We start from the raw sequence: 12,062 nt of genomic DNA on the forward strand, positions 1-12,062 counted from the left end.
AATCCCCATATTGTTCCAGGGTCAACTGTATTGGTTTAAAGTTCATACTTAAAATTTTTTTCTCTTTATATTTTTTAATTTAATTTGGCTTTATATAAAATATTGAAATAACTGAATAATTGTTTTAGACTCTTAGCCAATCCCCTTTCTCCAACTCTCCATTTCAAGCATCCTCCAACTCTCCATTTCAAGAAACCTAACACATACGTTATGCATCTCAGATTTGCAACATTATATTCTTTCTTCCTGAGGAGAGGATAGAATTTTGAGGATTTTCCAAGTCTTCAGCCATGGATTCTCTGCATCATCTTTTATTTATTCCCTTTTCCTAAGTGGTTCAAAATCATCAATTTTAGAATTAATTTTGCCTCATTGATATGAAGGTTTTGGATTCCATATATTTGCTTAACAAATGTTCACTGAGCTCTTCTATGTTCCTAGTATTGTGGTAGGTGCTGAATCTGCCTCACCTGGCTAAATGAAAGTATAGTATAGATAAGGTGTTCTTCCAAAGCTTTATATCTTTCAGTTACCAACTTTCTCCATCCAATTTATGCTGTAATTGTTTGTGACAATGTGGGAAATAGGAATGATGATGTATTAGTTTGTAGAAGTGTGAATTGTCTGGAGAGAAATTTGGCCGTACTTAGTGACATTAAGCATGCATATTCCTTGGACTCCAATTATTGAATTTTTACCCGAGAGAAATTTTAGCAGAAGTTTAAAGACACTCTCTGTCCTTTTCCTTTTCTCGCTATGTGTTGTAGAGGCAAAGGAAAAAACTTTTACCTTCACTCTCTGAAGGTTCACTTAAAAGTTAATTGATAAAAGGCAAATTAGTATGAGAAATGACATACAAATTTATTAGCGTGCAGGGAGGAAAAATCACAGAGCCATTACTCCACCACACAATGAGGTACAGATTTTTATATATCCTTTGTCTTAGGGGAAAGTGAGATGGGGAAGTGTGGATGATTTTAAGCAAGGAGAGTAAATGATTGTAGGGAAATGCAATGGGCTTGGAGAACATAAAATGGCCTGGGACAAAGTCTGTTGGGCCTGCAGAAGAGGCAATGGTTTTGAAAAAAGTTTGTCCAGGTATGTTGACAGATTTCAGTCTTTCTTCCTGTCATATGAGTTCAGTTAATGAAAACTCAGGGAAGGGACCAGAGGTAATTGTTTTCTTCTTTGGTGGATCTGAACTTTAACCAGAAAAGGGAATTTCAGAGACCAACTTCATCCAGTGTTTTGGAAGAGATGGAGGGGAGAGAGACCTTGAGGCTTCTTTTTCAGTTCATCATGTTAAAATGCCATATTTTGGAGTATCAGTTTCTGAGCCCTAACATTGTGTACATGCATGTATATGTGTGTTTACGTGTTCATCATAAATTTAGAGGCTAAATACAACTTTAAGGTGAAACGCTAGGGTGTATGCCTATGATGAATTACTATGGAGCAATTAGAAATAGATATCTACAAACCAACATGAATGGTTCCCATTAACACAGTTTTAAGTAAAAAAGTATGATCAACTCACCTTAAATCTGAAATGAATAAAGTCAGGTGCTGCATAAAAATATTTAGGTCAACAATCAGCTGTACAAATGTATATGACAGTGGTCCCATAATATTGCAACATCATATTTTACTGTACCTTTTCTATGTTTAAATGTTTAGATACATAAATACTTACCATTGTGTTACAATTGCCTATAGCATTCAGTACAGTAACATGCTATACAGGTTTGCAGTCTGGGAACAATAGGCTATACCATATACCATCAGTCCTCAACCTTTTTGGCACTGGGGACTAGTTTTGTGGAAGACAATTTTTCCATGAACCAGGGTCAGGGTGGGGGATGGTTTCTGGATGAAACTGTTCTACCTGAAGTCATCAGGCATTGGTTAGAGTCTCATAAGAGGCACACAAGCTAGATTCCTCGCATGTGCAGTTCACAAAAAGGTTTGCACACCTGTGAGAATCTAATGCCACTACTGATCTGACAGGAAGCGGAGCTCAGGCAGTAATGCTCACCCTTGCCTGCCACTTACCTCAGCCCAGTTTCTAACAGGCCACGGACCAGCACCGGTCTGTGGACTGGGGTTGGGACCCCTGCCATAGGTGTGTAATAGGCTGTATCATCTGGCTTTGTGTTTGGTACACTCTATGATGTCTGCACAATGACAAAATCACCTAATAATACATTTTGTAGAACAAATCCCCATTAAGTGACCCAGATCTATAATTTAAAATAACAGTGGGAAACCAAACTAGTATAATAAACTCATTTCCAGGCCGGGCACAGTGGGGCTCTCGCCTGTAATCCCAGCCCGTTGGGAGGCTGAGGCGGGCAGATCACGAGGTCAAGAGATCAAGACCATCCTGGCCAACATGGTGGAACCCCGTCTCTACAAAAACTACAAAAAAATTAGCCGGGCGTGGTGGTGCACGCCTGTAATCCCAGCTACTCGGGAGGCTGAGACAGGAGACTCTCTTGAACCTGGAAGGCAGAGGTTGCAGTGAGCCAAGATCGTGCCACTGTGCTCCAGCCTGGCAACAGAGCGAGACTCCGTCTCACAAAACAAAAAAGCAACAACAACAACAAAAAGAAACTTGTTTCCCACCCAAAAGCTGGCAGAAAATAATTTTTAATAATTTCCTGCATATTATTTATCTGTTTTTTGTTTTGAATGTTGTATATTTTTCTCAAATGATTACCAATTTCTTAGTTTTATATATTGAACTCTTTATTGAATAAAATCTTTGATCTCATTTTATTTATTTTTCCCACTTGGGTAATTGATTAAGAATGTATTCTCTGCTAGGTTACAATAATATTCTCCTGCACATCCTTTTAACTTTATGGCTTTATATATTGCATTCAGGTGTTTAATTCACTTACAGTGCATATTTGCAATTGGTGCTAGTTGGTTCAGCTTTTTTCGCAATAACAAATAACTTCAAAAGCTCATAGACTTAAAACAGCAAAAATATATTTCTCATTCATTTGCGTGAAAAGTGCAGGTCAACACTCATGGGCTCTGCCATCATGTTTTCATGTTGTAACTAGACTGAAGAGGCAGAGGCAGCCTCTATCTTAGAAATATAACAGCTGTTTTATCAAAATCTGTCCACCTCTAGTCTTTAAACTTCATAAGGTAAGGGACAGAGTCTGTATTTTCTACTTTCTGTGAAACCCTTGTTTATATCTTTCGCTCATTTTTCTATGTATTGCTTCTGTTTTATCACAAATTTGAAAGGAAATTTTAAAAATGTTTCTATGCCAATCTTCTGATGCTTATACGCATTTTCCGTATCTTGCCAACTGTGGCTGGTTTTCTCACTTTGATTATGCCATGTTTTGATGAAAAGTTGTTTATATTTAAATGGAGTTGAGTTTATTAATTATTTTCTTCATAGTTATAATTTTTGTCTCACTGAGGGAATTCACGCTATTCAAAAATAACAAAAATTATCTAATATTCACTAAAAGAGATTTAAAACTTTGCTTTTTACACTTAGATCTTATATCCACATAGAACCATTTATTATTTAGCTGTTTTAATTTGTTTTGGGAATATTTGTGTGGGGAATGAGATAGAAATCGAATAAACTATTTAAAAGACTAAATGGATGAGATCTATTCATAAAATGATTCAGTGCTATCTTATGATGTATAGAATAAAATCCAAACTCTTTTTCTTTCCTACAAGCGCTGAATCCTCTGGCCTACCATTCACACTCCAGTTCATTCCATTAATTCCCTTGCTTATTTTGTCACTATCTGTGGCTTTAATTCAGTTTTTCAAGTATTAACCACTTTCTTTTCTCTTTCCGTATTATCCATCTCTTACCCAAAGACTTCCTGGTTTTTTTTTTTTTTTTGAGATAGAGTCTCACTAAGTTGGCCAGGCTGAAGAGCAATGGCACGATCTTGGCTCACTGTATCCTCTGCCTCCTGAGTAGCTGGGATTACAGGCATGCACCACCACACCTGGCTAATTTTTGTATTTTTAGTAGAGACAGGGTTTCACCATGTTGGCCAGGCTGGTCTTGAACTCCTGACCTCAGGTGATCTGCCCGCCTCGGCCTCCCAAAGTGCTGGGATTACAGGCATGAGCCACCGTGCCCTGCCTGACTTCCTGTTTATTTTTGTGTGTCAGTTTAAATGCTGTGTTTTTAGGGAGGCCTTTTCTGCGCCATCTATTTAAATTGTCATTTCCCTTCAATTTCTGAAGCTAGTTCTGTTTTTTACAGAACTCTTATTTTTTTCCTTTATTTTTTGTTCATTTCATTATTACTGATTTCTCTTCATTGTACTCAAGCTTCATGAGGCAGAAACCATATACATGTATATTTTTTACTTTTGCTCCTTGAAGCCCATCAAATTCCTGGCATTTATAGGTGCTGAACAAATGAACAATTGAATTATGTGTCCTCATTTCCTTCTTACTTTCATCTAATTAATCATCATATTGCCTAGGTTCAGTATCTTCCATATTCTCACATTAGTCCATTTTTGTTAAAAACTTATGGGCACTGTCTTATTATATAAATCTATGCTATTTCTTATTGCTACTGCCATATTATAGATCTACATTATTTATTAAATTGTAAGCTGTTTTTTTCTCTTTTACCTTTCCCTTCTACAGTTCTATTTCTACACAATAGATCTTCCTAATTTTCTAACTGCATGGCTTTTCTGGTTATAATTCTTTAACTCTTCTTCATTTGCTTCAAGAAAAAAACCTAAATTTGTAATATGTACACAATATTCTGTTGATTCAACATTCTATTCCAGCTACCTTCTCATTTCTTCCACTTTTTACTGCATAATTTTGTAAACGTTTTTGTAAATATTTATTTTATTTATATTATATATAAAATATTTATATTAAATACAAAACTTTATGTTTTGTATAAATAAACATTGAGTTCTATTATCTTTTTCGCATCACCAAATCTCTTTTCCTTTCTCTCTGTGTGTGCATATATGTGTATATATAGTTTTTATTGATTGATTGATTTGTGGAATATTTCATGTATACATGAAAATGTAAAGAATAATAAGATGAACTTCTTGTACCCATCAAGAATTAGTGACTTGTAGCCAATCACACTTTATATATGTCCACCCAACTATCTCAAAATACTGGATAATTTTGAAGCAAAATCAGACACTTTATTTCATCTATAAATACTTTGGAATGCATTTTTTTTTTTTTTTTGAGATGGAGTCTCGCACTGTCACCCAGGCTGGAGTGCAGTGGTGCGATCTCAGCTCACTGCAGGCTCTGCCTTCTGGGTTCACACCATTCTCTGGCCTCAGCCTGTCTGTAATCTCAGCACTTTGGGAGGCCAAAGTGGAAGGATCCCTTGAGGCCAGGAGTTTGACACCAGTCTGAGCAATATAGCAAGACCCCATCTTTACAAAAATATATTTTTTTTTTGAGACAGAGTTTCACTCTTGTTCCCTGGGCTAGTGTGCAATGGCCCGGTCTCGGCTCACTGCAACCTCCACCTCCTGGGTTCAAGCGATTCTCCTGCCTCAGCTTGCAGAGTAGCTGGGACTACAGGCGCCTGCCACCACACCTGGCTAATTTTTTATGTTTTTAGCAGAGATGGGGTTTCACTGTGTTAGCCAGGATGGTCTGCATCTCCTGACTTCGTGATCGGCCTGCCTCGGCCTCCCAAAGTGCTGGGATTACAGGTGTGAGCCACCGCACCCAGCCTGGAATGCATTTCTGAAAGAGAACTTTTAGGGCATAATTTACATATACATAGTAAAGTACACAAATCTTAAGCAGCTTGATGCATTTTTACATATGTATACAATTATATAAACAACTTACATCAGGATATATAATAGACCATTTACACCATACTGCAATTTTTTTCATGGTTCTTTCCAGATGGCATCCTCTATGGGTAACCACTATTCTAACTTCAATGAACATTGGTTAATTTTGCCTTTATTAAGACTTTATTAACCTTAGAGGAATGTAATCTAATGGCATCTCTATGGTGTCTGGTTTCTTCCATTAACATAATATTGCTGAGATGTATCCAAGTAGTGGGTGTTAGTGATTTATTCCTTTTTGGTGTTGAGTAGCATTCCATTATATACATATGCCACAATTATGGTGAAAGGCATTTATATTCTTCCTAATGTTTGCTTTTTATGAATAAAGCTGATGTGCACATTCGTGTATGAGTCTTTTGGTGGATGTATGCTCAACAAAGTGGGGACATGTTCAGGCATATTATATATTACAAAACCATTTTCCAAAATGGTTGAAAAATTCACGCTCCCACAAGCAATGGATCAAAGTTCTAGCTGATTCACATTTTCGACAACATTATTAGTCCTCTCAATTATAGCTATTTTACTGATTTATATTGATATCTCATTGTGTTTTGATTGAAACTTTTCTAATAAATTGTTTGACCATGATACATATGCTTCTCTGACATTACTTCTGGATTTGTGCTAATTACAAATAATGTGGCATGCACATTCTTGTACATCTTTTTACTTGGTGCAGTTACCAAATATCCACCTGATCCTAGTGATTAATTTGCAGCTATGCCTACTACAGATCATAATTTCTATTCTTATCTTTAGCCTGGATTTTATTATCTACACTTGGCCCTAAGACTCTCTACTTTAGCTTGCTGATTTCAGCAGATTTCTGTGTCTCTCAATCTGTATTTAGCAATGAACCTTTCCCTAATTCTAGCATCATCCATACCTTCGGCAAAATGCAAAGCTTCATCTGCACTACAGTCCTACCATCTCACCATCTTGGCATCAGAAACAATGGCGAATAATCTACAGAATATTATGAGAATCATTGGGTAAAAATAAAAGGATGGAGAAGGTTTTAATAGAGAAGGCAAAATATTATCATGGAAGAAAACAGCAGAGACACGTAATAGAGTAGAAATCAGCTGGAGAAGTTTATATTGCATGTGTTGAGCTCATCAGAAAGATGATATGTTTGGTAGATGAAAGAAGAGACTAGTTGGTAAAATGTCTTGAAAATTGATCAGTTTCGTTTTGATTTAATAGCAAATAGTAATCAGCCATGAAAGTTCTCAAATTCAGTTTCTTCCATGAACATATTTTACATGATAGTTTTTCTTATTTCACAAAAGCATAATCAATTATTAAAATTTAAATGTAACTATGAATACATACTGTAGTAAAATATTTCTTTCCTTGTATAAAGCAAATCAATAATTTTTAGAATTAAATATTTTCTATTGCACCTTTCTTAAAAAAAGAAGTCTTGATCCATATTTTCTCAGTGCCTAAGTAATATATTAGGTGTGTGAATTAACTTTCTAGATTAATATTGGTAGATGCTCTGTACCTCCTCCTGTGAAATTTATGAAGATTAAGTCCATTCACTCACAGCACCTGTGTTAGTAAGAACATTTTAAAATTTTCTCATGCACTGTTTAATTTAATGATTTACTTTTTATAAAGGAGAGTGCTAGTAGGTATTATTGTCATTTTATATCTGATGAAGAAATTACTGAAATTAACTTAGCCATTGAGGACAAGGCTTAGATGCACACCGGAATCTACTGATTCAAAACCCATACCTCTGTCTAATGTGAGTTATCTGCCCTCTTCACTGCATGATTTCCACTCATGTGCATTCTAAAATACATCTAAGATACAATTGGGATTCTATCTAGGAGGGTTTCATTTTATTTTTCCTGCAGATTGCAGGGAATACTTGTTTTCTTCTCTGGAGAAAGTTGATAATTTGTCAGGTGCAACTGCCTCCGATTTTAGGAAGTCATTTAAGTAATTTCCCTTCCATTAAGGCTAATAAGAACCTTCCCTACTTGTTTAATTTTGTGCTTTCTGGACTTCAATCCATTTACAATACTTTAGAAAGTACTAAATTTAACTGTGATCCTTTATAGTGTGAAGTATAATTTTTTTTATAATGTTATCTATTAAGAATTCTTGAGACAACAGGTTCAAATCTATGCCCATCAACTCTTTCTGGTTTTGTTTTTTCTGAGTGTGTGTGTGCGTGTTAGGAGGGGAGCAGGGAGGTGGTGTTCACAACCATGATAGATATTATACTTTCCATTTTTTATTCTATTATTATTATACTTTAAGTTTTAGGGTACATGTGCACAACGTGCAGGTTTGTTACATATGTATACATGTGCCATGTTGGTGTGCTGCACCCATTAACTCGTCATTTAGCATTAGGTATATCTCCTAATGCTATCGCTCCCTCCTCCCCCCACCCCACAACAGTCCCCGGTGTGTGATGTTCCCTTCCTGTGTCCATGTGTTCTCATTGTTCAATTCCCACCTATGAGTGAGAACATGCGGTGTTTGGTTTTTTGTCCTTGTGATAGTTTTCTGAGAATGATGGTTTCCAGCTTCATCCATGTCCCTACAAAGGACATGAACTCATCATTTTTTATGGCTGCATAGTATTCCATGGTGTATATATGCCACATTTTCTTAATCCAGTCTATCATTGTTGGACATTTGGGTTGGTTCCAAGTCTTTGCTATTGTGAATAGTGCCACAAGAAACATTCGTGTGTATGTGTCTTTATAGCAGCATGATTTATAATCCTTTGGGTATATACCCAGTAATGGGATGGGAGGTGGAGTCTCGCTCTGTCCCCCCAGGCTGGAGTGCAGCAGTCGGGATCTCGGCTCACTGCCAACTCCGCCTCCTGCGTTCACGCCATTCTCCTGCCTCAGCCTCCCGAGTAGCTGGGGACTACAGGCTCCCACCACACCCAGCTAATTTTTTTGCATTTTCAGTAGAGACGGGTTTCACCGTGTTAGCCGGGATGGTCTCGATCTCCTGACCTTGTGATCTGCCCGCCTCGGCCTCCCAAAGTACTGGGATTACAGGCGTGAGCCATCGCACCCAGCTGGGTATTGTACTTTCAAAGAGAAAAGCAATAAAAATAAAAGAAAAATAAAAGCAGACGATCTTTTAAAAGATCTCTATAAAAATTACATAAGTCATTTTGCAGAAATTATTGTAAAACTGGTTATTCATCTCAGAGACTTGACTTCAAAACAAAAATGAAGAGCCTGAACATTATCCACTGAATTTTTCCATTCTGAAAATTAAAGCCAGAAAAATCCCAGATCACTGGAAGCCTTTTTGCAGCTATCAGCTTGATTCTATGTTCTAAATTACTGGAACAGTGATTTATAGTGACTATTTCTAACCATTTCACTTACTTTTGGCTAAATTGTCTTTGCTTTAGAGCAATGGTAACCTCTTTGACTGTACATCTAAAATTCTGTTTTAAGTATATCCCAATTCTTCTGTGCCTCTGTTGCCATCTCAGTTTTCCAAGCTTTTGTTTTCTCTCCCTGTTTTCCTCTTCGTGGTCTTTTAAATTTATTTTGAATGCTATATCTTCTGGATGCTAAGTTGGTTTTCTTACATACCACAGTGACTAGCCAGTCACCCTCTTGCACTCATGAACAGCAATCTATTGAGTTCCATGTATCACTAAACATCTTTCCTAGTGCTGTTTCAATCATATTCATGTTATATTGCTTTCTATTATATAGGAGCTGTCCCCTCTGGGCATTTTCTGCCCATCTCCCCCACTATTTCCTTTTCACTCCAAACTGCCACTTTATATGTCTCTCATCATTAAATGTGTAGATTGATCTTACTTTCTTTCAGAATTTCTTGACTCAGCAAATTGAGTTTTGATCTTTAATTCAGCTTTTAATGATGGTAGTGATGGTGGTGTTCTGGTGATGTGTATGCAGGTGTATTTTATTCATAGCTTCTTCAGGTTTTAATTCTCTAAACAAAATCCCCTCTGCCTATTCATAATCCAGCCAATGTAATCCCCAGGGGCACAGAGAAAGCAGCCTTCAATTAGGGATTAGTCAGGCCAGGTCATGGTTGGCTAAGGCTCCTGGCTGAGCCTCCTACTAGATCCCGCTGTCACTCTCCTACTGTTGTAATTATGGCCACTTTTATTTAAATACCCCTGCCATTTTATTTCAAAGTTATTGGCTGATTTTTTATTTTCCCTTTCTTCCCTATATTAATAATATTTTTAAATATTTTACTGTTAAGTATTGAGGGAAATCAAAGTATTTCACTGCAAAATATACTTCTTTGACAAATTTTGAGAAGTTTGTTAAGAGGACCTGCAAACAGAAGTAGCCCTGCAAAGCTGTCCTTTTGCAGGGAGATTTGCATCTGTAGAGAAAATCTGGCTTGATGTAGCCAGGTTTTCTCTAAGGTCTTCCCTTTTCTTAATGTAGGAAAGATTGACTGAAAGTTTAACACTTTTGAAAATCTGAAAGAAACACTTACCATCTATTCTCTCCGAGGGCTGCTTTCTGTGAGATTTCGTCTACATAACCAGACCACTTTTGCTGGCCAGACCTCCTGTTCTCCCCATCCCATAACCTTTTTATCACCATAACCTGTTTTGCCATGGTCCAAGCTTTTTTCTGTAACCTTGCTACAGGAAAAGGGTCCCAATCCAGACCCCAAAAGAGAGTTCTTGGATCTTGCGCAAGAAAGAATTCAGCGCAAGTCTGCAGTGCAAAGCAAAAGCATGTTTATTAAAAAAGTAAAGTGGTGAAAGTACAGATTCTCCATAGACAAAGTAGGACATTCCTGAAAGTAAGAGGAAGAACGCGTCTACCCTAGGTACAATGCTTGTATATATATAGGATTAAAAAAAGGTCATGAGGAGATGTGCTCTGTTACAAGGTTTTGTGGTGAAGAATTAGTTTTCTTAATTACTATATTTTGCAAGAATCAATATTATTATCTTTAAAGTAAAATTAGGAATCTCTTTGTTCTCAAGATATCGGGATATCTGGACACTCCCAAGTCTGGGTCTATTCAGTAAACATTATCAATCGGTTTCCTTAACCATAAACATCTAGAGGCCAGGAACACCTTTCTTCCAGGGAATGCAGCCCAGCAAGTCCCAGCCTCATTGTCCTAGCTCCCACTCAAGATGGAGTCACTCTGGTTCGAACGTCTCTGACAACCTCATGATGATAGATACATTTCTGTACCCCACTAGGGGTTGGGGGTAGTCATGCTGTGGTTCTCCCTCATGTGTTGTCCCTCCCACCTTAATAAATTTGTGTGCCATTTCTCCCATTAATTTCCTTTTGTAACTTGATTTTTCAGTGACCCTTCAGAGGGCAAAGGGGAAGTTTTCCCTTGGCTCCTATGGCATGTTTTTTGTTTAAAATAAAAGTCAAAAACATTGATTAAGTTGACAGTCCATTGGTAAGCATGTATTAATAGCATGTTTTTTTCTATGTGATTTTATATTTAGGAATCTGGATGAATACCATACTATTTGAAAAAATAAATTTAATGGTTACCAAATTGAAGAATAAAGAAGGTTAAATCTTGGTAAGCTATATTAGATATACTGTAGGGGATTTCAATCCATTTTTATGGGTTTGTTTGGTTTAAATGGAGTGTTTAGTTAATAATACTTTGAATCGTGCCTTCTATTTTATTTACTCACAGATAGCTACACCATTAAATGCTCTATTTTTAGGAGATTTGCTATTTAGACTAGTAATAAAATGTCCAGGGTAAATGGAGTTTTCCACTAGGAAACATATTTTTATCCACTTATACATATCAAGTTATTAGCTAATAAGCTAATAATAGGTGATAACATATTGAAGAATGTAAATGAGAAACACTAGGTTTCATTTTGGAGAAGTAAAGACATCTCTTGTTTCATATTGTTTTACAATTGAAACCACAGATTTATTTACTTAAAAAAAATTAATAGCCATTTTCCCTATGGCGCTTCACAGAAAGTTACCCATTTGTAACACTTCTTTCAGAATGTTCTCCACAATCAATATTTTTTATGGGTGGAACTATGAAAACCAAGAATCAATAGTTGATTATAATAATAATGACATTAGTAATAAAAGTTGCAATGCTTTATGTAAATACAGTGACTTTTTTATTGATCTCAAAACTGCTTGTGTGTGTAATTATAATATTGGCTGATTCATTCATATTAAATACCTATAG

General features: G+C 36.5%; 1 protein-coding gene across 19 annotated transcripts in view; it reads left to right on the top strand.

The window, feature by feature from the left end:
* The window catches only part of SPAG16 (sperm associated antigen 16), a 1,126,038-nt gene that overhangs the window by 315,592 nt on the left and 798,384 nt on the right, over positions 1–12,062 (top strand). Inside the window, exon 11 of one of the 19 annotated variants that reach the window (XM_011511828.3) lies at positions 11,338–11,380. The exons of the other annotated variants lie outside the window; for them this stretch is intronic. Coding sequence (XP_011510130.1) covers positions 11,338–11,365 — 28 coding nt within the window. The 3' untranslated portion in view covers positions 11,366–11,380. Of the gene's footprint in view, positions 1–11,337; positions 11,381–12,062 lie in introns of those variants that run through there. 19 annotated transcript variants of the gene reach the window in all.

Source organism: Homo sapiens, chromosome 2 (genome assembly GCF_000001405.40).
Source record: "Homo sapiens chromosome 2, GRCh38.p14 Primary Assembly".
NCBI lineage: Eukaryota > Metazoa > Chordata > Mammalia > Primates > Hominidae > Homo > Homo sapiens.